The sequence below is a fragment of the Homo sapiens genome, chromosome 21 (assembly GCF_000001405.40).
Source record: "Homo sapiens chromosome 21, GRCh38.p14 Primary Assembly".
Lineage (NCBI taxonomy): Eukaryota > Metazoa > Chordata > Mammalia > Primates > Hominidae > Homo > Homo sapiens.
Window position 1 is genome coordinate 43,851,313 of NC_000021.9, and position 19,071 is coordinate 43,870,383.

The 19,071-nt window shown below is 53.5% G+C and overlaps 1 protein-coding gene and 1 pseudogene across 13 annotated transcripts in view, besides 5 other annotated features; one reads left to right on the plus strand and one right to left on the minus strand.

Moving 5' to 3' along the window:
- MYL6P1 (MYL6 pseudogene 1) lies at positions 4,411–5,073 on the minus strand (annotated as a pseudogene).
- Positions 5,019–5,068: an enhancer, noted in NCBI's record as "active region_18552". NCBI's record gives its function as "activates an Ori minimal core promoter by ATAC-STARR-seq in GM12878 lymphoblastoid cells {active_cell/tissue: GM12878}" and the evidence as "EXISTENCE:reporter gene assay evidence [ECO:0000049][PMID:35858748]".
- Positions 9,338–9,835: a transcriptional cis regulatory region, noted in NCBI's record as "candidate enhancer chr21.1179 targeted for multiplex CRISPR interference". NCBI's record gives its function as "positively regulates PFKL gene expression in K562 cells {active_cell/tissue: K562}" and the evidence as "EXISTENCE:mutant phenotype evidence [ECO:0000015][PMID:30612741]".
- Positions 12,970–13,329: a silencer, noted in NCBI's record as "silent region_13371". NCBI's record gives its function as "represses an Ori minimal core promoter by ATAC-STARR-seq in GM12878 lymphoblastoid cells {active_cell/tissue: GM12878}" and the evidence as "EXISTENCE:reporter gene assay evidence [ECO:0000049][PMID:35858748]".
- Positions 13,880–14,229: a silencer, noted in NCBI's record as "silent region_13372". NCBI's record gives its function as "represses an Ori minimal core promoter by ATAC-STARR-seq in GM12878 lymphoblastoid cells {active_cell/tissue: GM12878}" and the evidence as "EXISTENCE:reporter gene assay evidence [ECO:0000049][PMID:35858748]".
- The window catches only part of AGPAT3 (1-acylglycerol-3-phosphate O-acyltransferase 3), a 122,370-nt gene continuing 117,209 nt past the window's right edge, over positions 13,911–19,071 (plus strand). For 6 of the 13 annotated variants that reach the window (XM_047440915.1, XM_047440923.1, NM_020132.5 and 3 more), the window contains exon 1: positions 13,911–14,033. Coding sequence is in view for 2 of the 13 variants with exons in the window: in XM_047440922.1 (XP_047296878.1) it covers positions 16,011–16,034 (24 nt within the window). In the remaining 11 variants the exon portion in view is untranslated. Of the gene's footprint in view, positions 15,354–15,826; positions 16,035–19,071 lie in introns of those variants that run through there. The other 7 variants (XM_047440926.1, XM_005261160.5, XM_047440924.1 and 4 more) reach the window with 3 other exon arrangements.
- Positions 14,350–14,669: a silencer, noted in NCBI's record as "silent region_13373". NCBI's record gives its function as "represses an Ori minimal core promoter by ATAC-STARR-seq in GM12878 lymphoblastoid cells {active_cell/tissue: GM12878}" and the evidence as "EXISTENCE:reporter gene assay evidence [ECO:0000049][PMID:35858748]".

The following is a 19,071-nucleotide window of genomic DNA, read 5'->3' on the forward strand; positions in this document are numbered from 1 at the left end:
GGCTGTGTCACAGATGTGCACCTTTAACTTTGGAAAAAATAAACTTCCTAAATTGAGACTTGTCTCAGATATTTGGGGTTCATATCATAGACCAGGGCAAATGCCTAGTCATGAGCCTGGGTACATGGAAAGAGATGGGGACAGGCCACTCATGAGCAAAGCCAGCTGGGGCCCCACAAGCATGGGAAGGGAGTGAGGCCCCACCTCATGAGCAGACTCTGCACTCACCCATCCAGGGGGGCTGTTGGAGGTGCAGGCAGTTGGTATTGGCAGCCGGGCCACAGGGGAATCGTGCACATCTGAACTGAACCCTCCTCCTCAGGACAGACATTTTTAAATTTCACTTAAACCACGACCTCTTCATTATATAGGTTATAAAATAAACTGTTGCCGGGTTTGCTGTGAAATGGCTTGCCTCTCAGCAGGCTGCCTGCTGTGTGTATTAATCAGAGTTCAATTACAGACCGTCTGGTGTTTGTGCGTGTCCCAGCTGGGCTGGTGCATGCTGTGACAATTGTCCACGCCTGGGGATCTGTCTACTGAATCCCCAAGGAGAAAGCTTCCTTCGTGGATGGCAGGACCGTTTCCACGCACACAGCCCTGGTCGGGGGAGCTGGAGTTTGCCTAGGTCCCTCCGTAGTCACAGTGATAGGTGCCCAGGCCCCTCCGCAGTCACAGTGATAGGTGCCAGGTCCCTCCGCAGTCACAGTGATAGGTGCCCAGTTCCCTCCGCAGTCACAGTGATAGGTGCCAGGTCCCTCAGTCACAGTGATAGGTGCCAGGTCCCTCTGCAGTCACAGTGATGGGTGCCAGGCCCCTCCGCAGTCACCGTGATAGGTGCCCAGTTCCCACCTCAGTCACAGTGATAGGTGCCCAGGCCCCTCCGTGGTCAGAGTGACAGGTGCTAGGTCCCTCTGCAGTCACAGTGATAGGTGCTAGGTCCCTCCGCAGTCACAGTGATAGGTGCTAGGTCCCTCCGCAGTCACAGTGATAGGTGCCCAGGCCCTTCCGCAGTCACAGTGATAGGTGCTAGGTCCCTCCGCAGTCACAGTGATAGGTGCTAGGTCCCTCCGCAGTCACAGTGATAGGTGCCCAGTTCCCTCCGCAGTCACAGTGATGGGTGCCAGGTCCCTCCGCAGTCACAGTGACAGGTGCTTCATATTTGTATCTCATTTTATCCTCATGACAACTCTGCTGTCAATTCTGATTCTGAGGTCAAACAAGGCTGGGAAGCTGGGTGACCTGGCAGGGACCTGGCCATTGCAGGGAGGGGGCTGCGGACGGAGCCAGAGGCTTCCAAAGAGACGGGAAAGCATCCAGTTTGCAGACCAGGAATCAGTACATCTGGAACCGTGAGGCAAGGAGGAGCTTCGAGATCATCCAGGGGGACCTCCTACCTGCCGGGGACTTCCACTCCTATTCCCTCCCAAGCAGCTCTCTGCTCACAGTCTCTGTGTAAGCAACGGTCCCTGACAGCTTCAACTTGGGGAGGGCAGGGGAAGGATGAGCTGCCTCTCCTATTTAATTTTAATTTAAATTTTTTTTTGAGGAGTTTCGCTCTTGTTGCCCAGGCTGGAGTGCAATGGTGCGATCTCGGCTCACCGCAACCTCCGACTCCTGGGTTCAAGTGATTCTCCTGCCTCAGCCTCCCAAGTAGCTGGGATTACAGGTATGTGCCACCATGTCCAGCTAATTTTGTATTTTTAATAGAGACGGGGTTTCTCCATGTTGGCCAGGCTGGTCTCGAGCTCCCAACCTCTGGTGATCTGCCCGCCTCGGCCTCCCAAAGTGCTGGGATTACAGGCGTGAGCCACCGCGCCTGGCCTATTTTAATTTTAATTTTATTTTTTTGTGAGACAGGGTCTCACTCTGTCACCCAGGTTGGAGTGCAGCGGTACCATCAGGGCTTGCTGCAGCCTCAGCCTCCCCAGGCTGAAGTGGTTCTCCCACCTCAGCCTCCCAGGTAGCTGGGACTATAGGTTCATGCTACCATGCCTGGCTAATGTTTCTATTTTTTGTAGAAACAGGATCTCGCCATGTTACACAGGGTGGTTTCGAATTCCTGGACTCACACAATCCTCCCGCCTCTGCCTCCCAAAGTGCTGGGATTACAGGTGTGAGCCACCACATCAGGCCTGCCCCTCCTATTTTGTTCCAATTATTTACGAGGGGTTGAGCAAAGAAGCTCTCCAGCTAAAGGGACTGAGCTTTTACTCCCTGCAGCTGTGTGACCTCAGGCAAGTTAGTCTCGGAAGGTGCTTCTGCTACACAGGTATAGCATGCCATGAACGGGGGCTTTGTCATGACGACCACGATGGTGATGATGGTGCTTTGCCCTGATTCTGATTGGCTGGGTTGGTGAAGGGCTGGGGTGCTTCCTCCTGAAGGTGATCCTATGAACCGCCCCAGAGAAACACTCCTGCATCTCACAGCGTTCTCCCTCGTGCTCTTGTCTTCTCTTTCCTACCAGATTCCAAATTCTCTTCCCAAGAGGTGGCATGAACCTGTGAGTCCCAGCTGCAACCAACAGAGAAGCAAGCGAGCCGTGAACCTCATCGATCCGGCCAGTCAGCACCTCCGTCTCTCCACGCAGGCCAGGTGGCTCCAGATGCGGGACTTGCTCCTGGCAGCTTGGCAGCTTTGCAGCTTTGCATCTGTAAGGCGTATATTACCGTAGAGTGCTTTTCAGCGTTACATAAGTCATTCGTATGTATTGCAGAAAGACAGCGAGGAAAAGAGAGACTGCACTTGTTATGGGCTGAGCGTTCAGGTGGGCGTGCCTCCCCCGGATTCACCTGTCAAAGCCCCAACCCCCAGCACTGCAGAAGGGGACTGCGTTGGAGATGAGGTCCTCACAGAGGTGATTAGGGTAAAATGAGGTCGCTAGGGTGGGCCCTGATTGGACCGGTGTCCTTGTAAGAAGAGCAGATGAGGACAGACACACACACAGAGGGACAGCCCTGTGGGGATACACGGAGGAGTCGGCGTCTGCATGCCAAGGAGAGGCCTCAGAGGAACCAGCCCTGCTGACACCTTGATCTTGGATGTTCAGCCCCCAGGATGTCAGAGGATGCGTGTCTGTGGCCGAGGCCCTGCAGCCTGTGTGCTGTGCACAGCAGCCCGGGAAGCAAATCCAGCACATCAACAAGGCTGAGAAAACACTTGTCTTTGCGGCCCCTACTGCCGGAGGCCACCACACGAGCAAGGGGCTGCAGTCTCCCTGCTGTCAGAAGTTTGCTCTGTGTTCTGGCAGACAGCACCCCCATCGTGGAGCTTCCGGGAGACGGGTGCTGCTCAGGCTGGGTGCACAGAAGGGCCAAGGCAGGGTAGGGCTCCTGTATCAGGGCCCGGGTGGGGTTGCCGGGTACAGCCCTGTCAGGGAAAGGCCCCCGAGGAGGTGGATTTGTAAAGGACAGACTCAGGGACAGAATTTCAGAGAAACTCGTCAGTGGCTTTCCCCTAGTGCAAATTCACCTGATACTCGCGGAGACCTATGAGACCAGCTGGTCAGCGCCCACCACCGCTTTTGACCACGCAGGAAGCAGACGCTCTGAACAAGACAATGTGCCCCCAACAGAACCCCCACACCGCTGACACGCACACAGACTCCTCCAGCATAGCCACCCCTCCCCACGAGGCGCACAGACTCCTCCAGCATGGCCACCCCTCCCCATGGAGCCGTGTCCGGAGGCAGAGGGGGCTTGTGGTGGCAGAGAACACGTGCCTCCCGCCCCTCACTGCACCGCGCTCAGGGGGCACCAGGGACTGAGCCCTTCCAGCTCCGGCAAAACAGAGGAACAAAAACACACTGATTTTATGAGACCAAGTTCAGTCTGTGGCCTGTCCCGACACTAAAGGATGGGCTTATTTTTTAGTGTAATGACAGGACCAGGGACGTTAGGAAATTAACCAGATGAGAACTGAAACTGAGGGAGAGGCCCTGAAGTACCTCCTCTAGTGTTTCCAAGAAGTGACACTAGGCTTGTGTTTAGCGGCCTGTGTGGTGCCTTCCCAGGCAGGAGGGGTGTGGTCTGAGTGCCCTTATCTAACGCTCACTTGTCTCCCAGAACGAACTCTTCTGTTGCTTGAGTTTCAAAATTTTTTTTTTTTTTTTTGACAGAGTCTCGCGCTGTCACCCAGGCTGCAGTGCAGTGGTGCAATCTCATCTCATTGCAACCTCTACCTCCTGGTTTCAAGTGATTCTCCCACTTCAGCCTCCTGAGTAGCTGGGATTTCAAGCACCCACCACCACGCCCGGCTAATTTTTGTATTTTTGTAGAGATGGGGTTTCACCATGTTGGCCAGGCTGGTCTTGAACTCCTGACCTCAAATGATCTACCCGCCTCAGCTGGGATTACTGAGATTACAGGCGTGAGCCACTGTGCCCAGCCTTGAAATTTTTTTGGGTGGGAGGGGTACACAGAGAGCAAGTTTATATGGTGAATGCTGATGGCAAACATCATCCAAGAGAGACAAGATGGGAAAGGTGCTGCAACCAGAGGCCCTAGGGAGCCTCAGGCTAGATACGAAATGTCACCCAGGGAAAGGCCTGGGCTCTGGGGAGGCTGGCAAGACCCTCAGCCATTCAGCAGCCTGCGGACAAGCACTTCGGAGTCAATGCAACCACTGCTGTCCTCATGCCCTGCCACCAGCATCTCTCCTCCTCTCTCTGTCATCTCCTCACCCAGTGAGACAAGAACATGCTGGATTTCCGCGCTCATGACGGTGCCATTCTCTTCCTTGTCAAACACCTGAAGTCTTTCCACATAATCCTCTTAGGTGCCCTGGTCCCTGTTCCCTGCCACTGTCTGCAGCAGGGGCAGGAAGTGCTCAAAGTCCAGCACCTTCACGTTCATCTCATCACTCTTGGGGTTCCCCAGGACCTCGAGCGCCGTGGCATTGGTGGGGTTCTGGCCCAGGGCCCTCATCACGCCCCCACAGGGGCTGGAAGGACCTTGCCATCACCTGTTCAGTCAAACAGCCGGAAGGCAGCCTTGAACTCTGTGCTGGTCCTTGGTGAAGTCACACGTCTTGACTGCTCAGCTCTACAGGAACTTTCCCTGTAGTAATGGCTCAGTGAAATATATATATATATATATATATATATATATATTTTTTTTTTTTTTTTTTTTTTTTTTTTTTTTGAGACGGAGTCTCACTGTTGCCCAGGCTGGAGTGCAGTGGCACAATCTCAGTTCACTGCAAGCTCCACCTCCCGGGTTCATGCCATTCTGCCTCAGCCTCCCGAGTAGCTGGGACTACAGGCGCCCGCTACCACGCCCAGCTGGGTTTTTTTGTATTTTTAGTAGAGACGGGGTTTCACCATGTTAGCCAGGATGGTCTCGATCTCCTGACCTCATGATCCGCCCGCCTCGGCCTCCCAAAGTGCTGGGATTACAGGCGTGAGCCACCGCACCTGGCCGGCTCAGTGAAATATTTTATAATCATGATCTATGTCTATGCCTAAATCGCCCTGCCTAAGACACTGAATAGCCTGAGAAAACTCCCTTTCGTGCTAACTCACTGGGCTTTTTTCTGGAAGACTTCCTTGGCCCCGCCGGCATCAGTACTTGAGCCGCTCCTTTCCCTATTTTTCGGGAATTAGGTGATATATTGGATCTGTGAGCCGTTGGGTTCTCCTGCACGCATTTAAAATACCAAATTGCCGGGTGTGGTGGCTCACACCTGTAATCTCAGCACTGTGGGAGGCTGAGGCAGGTGGATCACCTGAGGTCAGGAGATCGAGACCATCCTGGCTAACATGGTGAAACCCCATCTCTCCTAAAAATACAAAAATTAGCCGGGCGTGATGGCAGGTGCATGTAATCCCAGCTACTTGGGAGGCTGAGGCATGAGAATCGCTTGAACCCAGGAGGCGGAGGTTGCAGTGAGCTGAGATTGTGCTACTGCACTCCAGCATGGGTGACAAGAGCAAAATTCTGTCTCAAAAGGAAAGAAAAAAAGAAACAAATAAACAACAACAACAACAACAACAAAAAACCTGTTGGGCGTGGTGGCTCACGCCTGTAATCCCTGCACTTTGGGAGGCCAAGGTGGGTGGATCACCTGAGGTCAGGAGTTCGAGACCAGCCTGGCCAACATGGTGAAACCCTGTCTCTACTAAAAAAACAAAAATTAGCTGGGTGTGATGGCACGCACCTGTAATCCCAGCTACTTGGGAGGCCGAGGCAGGAGAATCGCTTGAACCCGGGAGGCGGAGATTGCAGTGAGCCGAGATCATGCCACTGCACTCCAATGTGGCTGACGAGCAAAACTCTATCTCAAAAATAAACAAACAAATCTGTCGGGTGTAGTGACTCATGCCTGTAATCCCAGCACTTTGGGAGGCTGAGGTGGGCAGATCACCTGAGGTCAGGAGTTCAAGATCAGTATGGCCAACGTGGTGAAACCCCGTCTCTACTAAAAACACAATATTAGCTGGGGGTGATGACACACTCCTGTAATCCTAGCTACTCAGGAGGCTGAGGCAGGAGAATCACTTGAATCTGGGAGGCAGAGGTTGTGGTGTAGTGAGCTGACTCGTACCATTGCACTCCAGCCTGGGCGACAAGAGCAAAACTCTGTCTCAAAACAAACAAACAAGCAAAAAAAAAAACCAAACAAATCTGTTGGGAAGCTAAAGTGGGAGGATCACTTGAGCCCAGGAGTTCAAGAGCAGCCTACCAACATAGTGAGACCCTGTCTCTACCGAAAAAAAGAAAACTTAGCCGAGTACGGTGGCTCGCAACTGTAGTCTTAGCTACTGGGGAGGCTGAGGTGGGAAGATCACTTGAGCCCAGGAGGTCGAGGCTGCAGTGAGCCGTGATCACACCACTGCACTCTAGCCTGAGTGACAGAACAAGACCCTGTCTCAAAACAAACTCCAAATTTGAACAGGTGAATTTTTTTGTTTTTTCGAGACAGAGTCTAGCTCTGTCGCCCAGGCTGGAGTGCAGTGGTGCACTCGGCTCACCGAAACCTCAGCCTCCTGGGTTCAAGCAATTCTCCTGCCTCAGCCTCCCGAGTAGCTGGGATTACAGGTGCCCGCCACCACGTCTGGCTAATTGTGTACTTCCAGTTGAGACGGGGTTTCACCATTTTGGCCAGGCTGGTCTTGAACTCCTGACCTCAGGTGATCCGCCCACCTCGGCCTCCCAAAGTGCTGGGATTGCAGGAGTGAGCCACCATGGCCTGGCTGTTAATTTTTAGAAAACGTAGGTATGTTTTGTTTGTTTGTTTTTTGCCCCAGAGTACAATTTGAAAAAATATTTGTGTAAAAGAGAAAAACTAAAGTTTTTGCTTGCTCGTGTGCACATGGCGTGTGTCCTGGTGTGCAGGCGTCTGGGAGGAAGAGGCCTTCCTTTGAGAGATGGCGTTTCCCTGTGTTTTCTGAGGGGGAAGTGCATGGCTAAGGAGTTGAAGTGGGTCTGTCCCCTTCCCTGTGGCAGGAGCCTGCTTGGGACAGTGGCTCCTGCCTTCATGAGGAGGCTTTAGTGAATTTAAGGGACCCGTGGATGTGTCTTCAGTTCGGAAACAGGGGCACAGGTGCCTGCCCTTGCCTGCAGAGTAGGGTGTGGGCCCCGGGAGGTGCTCTGGTCCAAGCCGCATTTCTAAGCAAGCGGGAGGCTGAGGTCTTCTTTGCGGGCCCCTGAGTCACACAGGCCTCCAGGCGGTGGACATTCAGTGGGGTTTGGGTCCTTTGCAGGTCCCTGGGTCACACAGGCCTCCAGGCGGTGGACACTCAGTGGGGTTTAGGTGCACGGGGCATGCGGGGTGTCGTAACCTCTGCGAAAGACTCCAGAGGGGAGTGGGACTGGCAGGTGAGCCTCAGACCCAGGCCCCGAGCAAAGGCTGGTGGCCAGGAGCATGGGGCCACACACCCCGCCTGCTCGGACTGGCTGGGGTGCCTGAAGAGGGCAGCCTCGGCCTGCACCCCAGCAGCCTCCACTTGGTCTCTCTCTGTCTCTGCTCCTCCCTCAGCCAGGACCTTGGAGCCCCTCAGACTCTGACACTCGCTGAGAGGGTGCGAAGCGTGGACCACAGCTCCCAGCTCTCACCTGCCCAGGCCCTGCGCTGGGCTTTGCAGGCCTGCGGTCTTTACCATGTGGTCACTTCACAGTGCGGTTACTGTCGCCCCACTTTGCAGGAGGAGATGGGGTCTGGACTCACCCAGGGCTGCTACTCTGTGCAGACACTTCCCCACCTGCTGGCGTTGGCCTGCTCTTGTGACCTTGACTTTGACCTCCAGGCTGATGAGGCCAGGCTCCTCTGGGAGTCGCTCTCTACTCTCTGCTGACCCCTGGGATGGGGGATGGATGTGTTACAGGAAACGGGTCCGGATCTAGACACCAAGAGGGGGTTCTTGGATCTTGCACAAGAAATATAATTCAGGGTGAGTCCGTAAAGTGAGAGCAGTTTATTAGGAAAATAACGGAATTAAGAATGGCTTACTCCATAGACAGAGCAGCCCCAGGACTGCTGGTCGCCCATTTTTATGGTTATTCTTGATGATATGCTAAACAAGGGGTGGATTATTCATGCCTCCCTTTTTTAGACCATATAGGGTAACTTCCTGACGTTGCCATGGCATTTGTAAACTTGTCATGGTGCTGGTGGGAGTGTAGCAGTGAGGACGGTCAGAGGTCACTCTTGTGGCCATCTTGCTTTTGGTGGGTTTTATCCAGTTTCTTCACTGCAAGCTGTTTTATCAGTAAGGTCTTTATGACCTGTATCTTGTGCCAACCTCCTAGCTCATCCTGTGACTTAGAATGCCTTACCTGTCTGGGAACGCAGCCCAGTAGGTCTCAGCCTTTTACTCAGCCCCTGTTCAAGACGGAGTCGCTCTGGTTCAAAAGCCTCTGACAGATGGCAACAATCTCACCGGACTCAGCGCCTCCAGACTGAACTCAGTTTCTCAAGAATCATTTCCAGGGGTGAGGTCTTAGTGCACCCAGGGTTTCTAATCTCTTTGCTGTGAAAGATCTTGTTTATAATTTTTGCCTCTGTGGAAGTCTATGTTTAAAAAATAATGTGTCTCCTAGGAAAAAAAGCTTTTGTTTGCATTGTTTTCCTATTACCTATTAGCCAAAAATAGTTAACGTCCATCCAGTAGAGATTAGTATCCACATGCCGGAGTTCGTGTATTTACAGCAAAGTTATTATCTTTCGTTTTGGTAAACTTTTACATCTGAGATAAATATAGAGTTGTCTTTGGGCTTTTAAGAATGCCGGAGTTACCCCGAGGGCCCCTGGCTCTCCCGGCATCCTCTTGGAGATCAGGGAAATCTGGGTGGGAACCTCCTCATTTTACAAAAAAAGAAACTAAGACCAAATGGGTAACGTCGTTGTTTAAGGTCACAGGCTGGCGCTGAGCCTTGGCTCTCAGCTCCCCTGGCAGTCGCGCGACTCAGCGTCCAGCCCTACCTGCTCCAGGGCCCTCCCTACTGCCAGCCGCTGCCTGTCCTCTCCCCTGACCTGCCTTGAGCCAGACTGGGCCCCCTGGGCCTTGGGCAGGGCTGGATGGGCAAGTTGTCCAATGAGGCCCCCTCAGAACTGGAAAGCCTCCTTCTGGGTGTGGAGGTGGGCAGCAATCTGCCATTTGGCCCTGGGGTCATCTCTCTGGCTCAGTTTGCTTATCTGTGAGCCCAGATGTCGGCAAGTTCAGGCTGAGAATTAGAGCAAATAATGAAGAGGGAGCCCCTTTCCCAGGGCCTGGCTCATATGCACCGTGGACAACAAATACCAAAAAGGCTGGGCACGTGGCTCACACCCGGAATCTCAGCACTCTGGGAGGCCGAGGTGGGTGGATCACTTGACGTCAGGAGTTCGAGACCAGCCTGGCCAACATGGTGAAACCCCACCACTACTAAAAATACAAAGATTAGCCGGGCGTGGTGGCAGGTGCCTGTCATCCCAGCTACTCTGGTGGCTGAATGAGGCAGAAGAATTGCTGGAACCCAGGAGGCGGAGGCTGCAGTGAGCCAAGATCGTGCCACTGCACTCCAGCCTGGGCGACAGAGCAAGTCTCTGTCTCAAACAAACAAATAAACAAAAAAACTACTTTTCTTCTTTTCATTCCTAGCAAAAATCCCCTCTCTGGACAAATACTACTCAAGGTCAGAATCTCCCTTTGCCCCCAGTTTTTCATTGAGGAGGCTGAGGATCTGAGTCTCTCTCTTTTTTTTTTTTTTGAGATCCAATCCAGTCTCACTCTGTTGCCCAGGCAGGAGTGCAATGGCATGATCTTGGCTCACCACGAGTCTCTTTCTTAATAACCAACCCCATTACCGGGTCAGGAGAAGCTGCTGCGCTGTGGCTGCATCAGGGCCTAGAGCCGGGCTGCCTGCCTCTGCTGCCCTGTGTGCTGGCGGATAAGGTAGGGAGGTTTGTTATGCCTCAGTTTCCTTAAAGGTAAAATGGGGTGTCAGTCGTCTCTACCTTGTGGCCTGGTTTTGGTTAATGAACTAATCTACACACATAACAAGGGCTCAACAAAGGTTAGCGATGACGTTTCCTGCCAATCTGAGCACCTGCACACTGGAACCCTGTAAACAGTTGAGGGTGGGTGGCTGACTTCCAGTTCCCTTCAAATGCTTCTCTGAGTGTCTGCGCACCTGCGGCTCTCCAGGGGCTCGACTCAGGTCTCAGTGATCACAGATTCTAATGAAGAAAGGGTCTGTCTCTGTCATCCAGGCTGGAGTGCAGGGGGCACGTTCATGGCTCACTGCAGCCTCGACTCCCACCTAAGCCTCCTGAGTAGCTGAGACTACAGGTGTGCTGGACCACACCCAGCTAATTTTAATTTTGTTGCCCAGGCTGGTCTGTCAGTGAAGTTTTACACCAGTGAGACAAACATAATATTTGGGGCTCATCTAAAAGCTCAAAGTGAGGCTGAAGGAGCCATCCAATGTTTAAATGAAGAGGTACATCATAATTCATTTTTAATAAGTATGCAGAGCTGGGTGGCTCATGCCTCTAATCCTGGCATTTTGGGAGGCCAAGGTGAGAGGATCGTTGAAGCCAGGAGTCTGAGAGTGGCCTGGGTAACAGAATGAGACCCCATCTTTACTAAATAAATAATAAATAAATAAATAGCTGGGCGTGGTGGTGCATGCTTATAGCCCTAGCTATTTGAGAGGCTGAGGTGGGAGGATCCCTTCAGGGATCCTGCAGTGAGCTATGATCATACCACTGCACTCCTAGCCTGGGTGACGGGGGGACACCCTTTTTCTAATAGTAATAATAAATTATAAAATATATAAATTATAAAATGTGTGCTTATGATAAATCTAAACATTACTACCTAACATACATAGAAATTTTATTGTAATAAAATTTCTTTACCCTTGCCCATTCACTATCATATCTTCACAGAGCCTTCTGGACTTGTATCTGCCTATGTTGTTTTCTGTTTTTTTTTTTTTTTTATTTGTTTGTTTGTTTTGAGACAGAGTCTCGCTCTGTCGCCCAGGCCAGAGTGCAATGGCTAGATCTCAGCTCACTGCAACCTCTGCCTCCCGGGTTCAAGCAATTCTTCTGTCTCAGCCTTCTGAGTAACTAGGATTACAAGAGAGCACCAGCACGCCCAGCTAATTTTTGTATCTTGTTTTAGCAGAGGTGGAGTTTCACCATGGCTGGTCTGGAACCCCCGACCTCAAGTGATCCACCCGCCTTGGCCTCCCAAAGTGCTGGGATTACAGGTGTGAGCCACTGCATCTGGTCTTTTTTTTTTTTTTTTTTTTTGAGATAGAGTCTCACTGTGTCACCTAGGCTGGAGTGCAGTGGCACAATCTTGACTCACTGCAACCTCTGCCTCCCAGGTTCAAGCAGTTCTCTGCCTTAGCCTCCCGAGTAGCTGGGATTACAGGCGCCTGCACCACGCCAGGCTAATTTTTTTTTTGTATTTTTAGTAGATACGGGGTTTCACCATCTTGGCCAGTCTAGTCTTGAACTCCTGACCTCGTGATCCACCAGCCTCAGCCTCCCAAAGTGCTGGGATTACAGACAGGTGTGAGCCACCGTGCCTGGCCATTTTTTGTTTGTTTGTTTGTTTTAAATAAAGCACATCATTGTATATTCACTGCTCTGCACTATTTTTATTTTTTAATTTAACAGATCTTGGAGACTATATCCTATCTGTGTACACAGAATTATCACATCACAACTTTAGAAAATGTTTTAAATTAAAAATGCTAAATGAATGTTCTAGAGTTTATTTAACCAAGTGTCTGGTTGTTCTCAGGCTTCCTGTGATTATAGGTATAGCTGTAAGTCAGCACATCCCTGTATCCACACATCCCGTGGTGCCTGTGAGAATTTATCTGTGGCACAGATTACCCAAAATGACATGAGGGGTGAGAGGTTTTACAAATGGTGAATTCCACGAGCTTTGCAAATCTTAACTCCTTTTTCAAGAATAAGGGAACTGTGAGTAGGACAGGTGCACGGTACTTTCATTTTATTTTAGTCTAAGTATTTTCTGAAATAATTTGAGGAGGCTTAAAGGGAGGTGCAAGCTGGGTGCGGGGGCTCATACTTGTAATCCCAGCACTTTGAGAGGAGGAGGTGGGAGAATACTTGAGCTCAGGAGTTCGAGATCAGCCTGGGCAACACCGTGAGGCCCCATTTCTACAAAAAAAATTTTTTTTAAATTAGCCAGACATGGTGGTGTGTGCCTGTGGTCCCAGCTACTTGGGAGGCTGAGGTGGGAGGATCACTTGAGCCCTGGAGTTCAAGGCTTCAGCGAGCTATGATTGTACCACTGCACTCCAGGGTGGGCGACAGAGCAAGACCCTGTCTCAATAATAATAAAAATAAAAAAAAAAAAAAGGAAAAAAAGGGGCACAGTAGACAGTACCAGTACTTGGTATTTTAAATGGTTTTCAAATGAAGCCCACCCAAGCTCAGCAAGTCCAGCCGGGGCCTGAGGACCTGAGCAGGCGCCAGGTCACACAAGGTACCGGGCGCAGGAGGCGGAGCCCGCAGCGGGCCCTGCCCTGACAGCGGCACCTGCGCGGCCTCCGCAGGTTCTGGGATCGGCCGCTGGCCAGGTGCAAGGGAGGGGGGACGGCAGCCGCTGTCCTGGGGCTGAGAGGGCTCCGCGGTCTGGAGGGGACGGCGTCAGCGCCCGCGGGGGTTCGCAGGGCAGCCCCGGGGCGACCCCCACCCCCGCCACGGTCAAGTGTCGATACAGTGTTGCCAGCCGGGTGCCAACTATGAATAAGTCCAAGGGCGCGGCACGTGGGCCGAAACGCGATCCTTCCGCGGAGCCGCTGCGCGCAGGGCCGTCCCCACCGAGCCCGCCGCGCGGCGACCCCTGACGGCGACCCTAAGCCCCGGCCGACCAGGGCAGGAGCTCGCGCGCGAAACTTCCCCGGCGCCCGCAGGAGACCCCGGCAGGGGAGATGGCGGGGCCCAGGCAGAGCTCGGAGGCCCCTCCCGGCCCCACCCCGCGCCCCGGCCCCCTCTGCCCCCGACCCGGTCCGGGGGAGCCCTCGCGGGACCCCAGCCTGGTCCTTCGCCGCCTCCCCCCGTTCAGCCCCGACCCCCCTGATCCCCGCGCCCCCCGCGGTCCCGGCCCGCCCCCTCCCCCAGCCCGGGCCCCAGCCCCGTCCGTTAGCGGATCCCACGCAGGCTCCGCGCCCGGCCCCGCCGGCGCCCTCGGCCCACACCTCTCTCCGCGCGCGTGTCCCGCCGTGTCGCCCCCGTGTCCCCTCCGCGTCCCCCCCCGCGCCGTCCCCCCGCGTCCCCCCCCGCGTCCTTCCCCCGTGTCCCCCCAGCGTGTCCCTCGGCCGCCCCGCGCGCGCCGGCGGAACTGTGGGATCGCCGCGCACAGGAAGTGGCGGCGGCGGCGCGGCCGAGGGCGGAGGGCGGAGGGCGGCGGGATGGGGGCCGGGGGCGGCGGGCGCCGCACTCGCTGAGGCCCCGACGCAGGGCCGGGCCGGGCCCAGGGCCGAGGAGCGCGGCGGCCAGAGCGGGGCCGCGGAGGCGACGCCGGGGACGCCCGCGCGACGAGCAGGTGGCGGCGGCTGCAGGTGAGCACCGAGGCCCCCACCCGAGGTCGGGCCGCCCCCCTCTTCCCCCACGCCCCGCCGCCGCCCGAGGTCGCCCTCCCGCCGCCGGAGGTCGCCCCTGCCCCAGCCGTCCGACCTCGGGCCGCCCGGGGCCCCGCGCCGCAATGGGCCGGCCGCGCTCCGCGGGGCGCGGGGCCTGGGAAGGCGCGGGGCCGGGAGGAGGTCTGGGCCCGGGTCCTGTGCGCCCCCCGCAACCCCGGCCTCCCCGGCGGCCTGGTCCAGCGCGAGGCCCCGGCCGCTTCCCGCAGCAGCCTCGGTGGCGCTGGGCCCAGCGGGGAGGCCCGGGGGTTCGGGGCGCCCGGGAGGGGCCCGGGCCGGGCCGAGGGAGGGCGAGTGGGTTCCCGCGGGGACGTCCCATCCCTCCGTCCTGGACTCTGCTCCGGGCCCCGCTCGGCTCCCCCGTGGACAGGACGCGCCCGCCGCCTGGTTTCGGGGCGCGGCGGACCCGGGACCCCCCCCAGGGGCCTCCTCCTCGCGCGCCCAGGCCAAGGGAGCAGTTTCACTTTTGCCGCTCCGCGCGGGGAGGGCTGCGGGGCCCGGGGTTGGCTGTGGGTTCGGCCCGGAGACCGGCGGCGCGTTTGCACCGGGCGGGTCAGGGGATGGGGTCAGTCCGGGGGCAAGAGCCGTGGGGGCGAAAACCCACTCCTGGCCACCCCAGGACCCTTGGAACATTGGTCCCAAGTACTTAGGAAAGGAGGGTTATTAGTATTTGAAGGCAGTTAAAAATGGTGCAGTGTTTTTTTTTTTTTTTTTAACTTTGAGAGAAGTTTAGTGACATGGGGAAAATGCTTTTATAAATGGCTTCCCAGACCTTTAAAAAAAAAAAAGCACAATTTTAAAAGCTTTGTCTAGGAGAATACTTGAGCAGTTGGGTTCTTTTTCCTGGGAAACATGATCTTAGTAGAAGAAAGATGTGGGCTGTTGGCCTCCAGACAGAGGGTGATGAGCATGCGGCTCTTATTAAAAATGAAAGCCAACGCCGAGAGCCTGCTGGGGGCTGGGAGGTGGGGCGGGCGGCGGGCCCAGGCTGCTAGAGGGACCCAGGATCCTGCAGCTTTTAAATTGCAGGCGCGGCTGCTCCGACTCGACTCGCTTAGGAATTGCTGAACTTCGTCTTCTCAGTTTGAAAGCTTCAGAGGGGTCTCCCGAGGATGCTGAGCACTCTCTTGATTTGGCCACTTCTTTGCCGCCCCCCCTCCCTCTTTCCAACCAATCCTCCTCCCCCACAGAGTTCGGCGTTAGCCTGTGCCTGTTACAACTCGCTTCTTGTATCCATTTCTGGTTAGTCTTAAGTATCTTCTTGAGGACATTGTCTAAAAAGCAGCTGCATGCCATTGACATTCAGACAGAACAGGGCCCCTTGGCCTTAGAAGGTGTAGGGGCCTTAAATATTCTGAAGGTGACTTCATGGAGTGGCCGCCCTCTGTGGTCACCCTACCTGTGCGTGGCCCTGTCCTGGCGTATCTGCCAGGGGGACGCGCTGCAGCAGCCTGAAGACTGCTGGGTTAAAGGCAGTGTGGCCGGGTGGGAAAGTCCCCAGGAGTGTGGATTCTAGAACAGGCCTTCCTGGAGGGAGGGTGCTGCCCCGCCCCAGGCTGGGGCCCCAGTGCAGACTCCACGCTGGGGAGCTACACCCTGCGCCTGGACGCGCGTCTGTGTGCCAGGACTGGGGAAGCAAACTGAAAGTAATGGCTTTATTTTGGAAATTAGAAAAAGAGCATTCACCAAAGTAATCTGTTCCGTCCCTGCCGTAGACACGTGACTGATACACCTGCCTCCCATCCCCTCCGCACTTTGACCTCGTAAACAAGTGATCTGACACAACAGGGCTTGAGTTACTTGCCCGAGGTTGTGTCACGGAACGGCAGGGCCGCCTTTAGGCTTACATCCCTGGAACTCCCACCTCCACAGACCCGTCCGGGTGCTGAAAGTCCACGGATGCTATCCCTGGTCAAATCAGAGGTAGGTGGGAAATGTTGGAATTCTCCTAAACAGGGAAGGGGAAGATCAGAATGTGTGTTTGAGAAGAGCCTGATTTCCTGGATTCCTTTGGAGGAGGGGTGTCCTTAACTTGCCCAATCACATTTACCCTGTTCATCAATCTTCAGCCCCGCTTAGGCTCTCACATTGCAGACCCCACGGCAGAGCCCCTAGTGCTTGGCACTGAAGAGCCAGTGCAGGCCCGTTGTCACCATCAAAACCCACCTCTGGTAAATTCAATGGCTTCTGCTTCCACGCTTTGCCCCCCCTCTCTGGCCTTGTCAAAAACTCTTGTGATGTCCCTGTTATAAGGTATCGCCGGTGGACTGGTGTTTCTAGATCGCAGCGTGGGACGTGATTGGCTACATTTGACTGTTTCCTTTTTAATGACTTGTTTAATGTGAGATCTTTAGCTGCTCCATCTCATTGCAAGATTTTTGTTACAGTAAAGTTGGACTGAGTTTTCTAAAGACAGTTGCTCAGAAATTTCATGGGAATTTACTTTTGGTTAACCGAAGAGTGTTTGGGGTTTTAAACGGGTCGTTTCAAGTGGTAAAGTAACATGACCACGAGGCGTCTGTCCTTCCTAAAACCACTTCATCATAATTTCAAGATTGATTCTAAATTACCAATTTCAAAGCGCTGCATTTTAGGCAAGTGCATTAATCGTTCACCTTCTGACAGGCTTTCATGTAGTCATTTACAAGCGGCCATGTTTTGATTATCTTTGTCAAGCAAAGTGCAGGAGACAGGCAGTCTCATAACCTTGGGGCAGTGTCTGTGTTTAGTTTTGGAGGCGGGAAGGCCGAGTTGATGGTGAAAGTTGGCCATTCTTTCTGCAGGGCCAAAGTCTGTACCTGGCTATTAGGGTGCATGGATGCTGGGGTTAAATTGGCCACGTCTTTTCCCAAGCCTAGGTAGAAGGATTGCAGATAGGATATGTTTTAAATGTTACTGGTGGTGAATTGAAAGCAACACAACTATCCTTCAGTGTGTGACTGGCAGAAATCTACCTCCTGGCTAGCGTGCCCTGTGTCACTTAAGACTCAAAGTGGAGCTGGGTGCTCTTGGTGGGACAGTGTGCCTGCAGCCCAGAGGCCTGTCCCCAGTGACTGGGAAGGCTATGCATCATTGTTGGAGATGGTCTCGATTCCTTTCTGAAAGCGGGTAGAGAATGAAATGCATAATAAATAACAATAATGATGAATTATAAAATGAGCAGCAGTAACAAGCTGTACAAGGAAATACCTGTCCTGAGATCGATTACTCACCCCTGACTGTCTGCCCTCCTGATTCTCAGCCAGGTGCTGGGAGCTGAGTACCGGCGCTGCAGCCACGCTGGCTCTTGTTCTCTTCCTCATGTCCTATTAGCTGACCTGACACTAAATCTGTCACCTGCTTTATGACATGCTTACCTTATTATTTTATAAGCTCCTCTACATCCCTGTAAGGAGAGTGGTATTGCCCCATCACACAGAAACTGACAGAGACACTGACATGGGAAACTGAGTGGGGAAGTGTGGCCAGCGTCTCAGCTTGGGCAAATCTAGATTTAAACAAAGGTCCAATAGAATCCAAAGCTGTTATTCTTTCCACCAAACCACCTTGATGCTCATAAGATCCAATAGATGAAAATCTACATTTCTGAAACGGAGACTAAGTCATTGGCTTCACATACACGTATTCATTTAAACACTTTTCACTTGTAGAAGGCCGTACTTGCTGGACTGGGGGCTCTGAAATCTCCATCTGAATTGATAGAAACAGATACATGCTGGATATGGAATCAAGAAGAAAATTAATTCAATTGACGTAAATTCATCTATGCTCAGCTTTTTACGGTACACTTGGTGGGAGTAAAATGAAGAGCTGTTTATTGACTCCTCATGTGAAGAATGTGCTGATGATTGGGTTAAGCTTTTCATAGATTGATTTCTGATTTAGGCCATTGTCCTAGTCTAATTGGAGTGATTGATTGAGTGAACAAATGTGCATTTTATTAGGGAGCTACACATAATTTTTGCATTGAGAAATTAACCAGTTGTTATACTTTGTAAAATATGGTGTACTAGCATTGATTTTTGCCAAAATAGACAGAAGTCAGATTGTTAGAGGAAGACCGCGTCAGTTTGGGTTATGCACTTGTCAGTTTGGGAAGCAGGTGCCACGATGAGATGGGAAGTGCAGGAAGAAACCCTGCAGAGGATGGTGGGGGAGCACCAGACCTCCAGGCAGGTCTGACCCCCGTGAGAGGAGGCGGAGGGAGCAGTGCTGGGGAGGAGGAGCCTCAGACCCAGCCCTGAGTTAGGCACAGCCAGCCCAGTGCCAAGTGGACCCCCAGGGTGGCCCTGCGTGAGTACCCGCTTTGGTCATTACCCCTGAAGGGGTCCCGAAGGTGTCTCAGCAAGGAGGCTGTGGCTCACCTGTCTCCTCACCTGTCACCTTGAAGCGGCTTTCTCTGGCAGAGCTCCATGGCGGCCTCAGAAACAAAGTTTAGGGACTTAAAATTTTATGCATGTATTTTAGAGGTGGGGCCTCACTGTGTTGCCCAGGCTGGACTCAAACTATTGGGCTCAAGCGATCCTCCCACCTTGGCCTCCCCAGTAACTGGGACTACAGGTGCTGCCACCACACGTGGCTAAGTTTAGTGACTTTTGATAATCCACAAAAACAAAAGGAACAGTAAAGACAATCCCAACTGTGACTCATTATGCGGCACGGGCGGGCGGGATTTTGGATTAGTTTTAGGAAGCGAACCACAGCCGTCCTCCTTGGACTCCCTGCCGTGGCTGGCAGTGAGCTGGTGCAGGGAGGCGAAGTGCTGGTGTTCTGGGAATTTTCAAATGCACTACAGCGATCAGGACACACGTGTTTCAGTGCACACAGGTTATTTTCAGTTTTCTAAATCAGGAGCTTATTACTATGACTTAAGTTCTAGAACATTGGTTAGAAAATATGTTTGTCGTGCAGTTCAGTTCCAGCTCCAGGCTAGCATTGCATTTTCCTGGAGCCCCAAAGC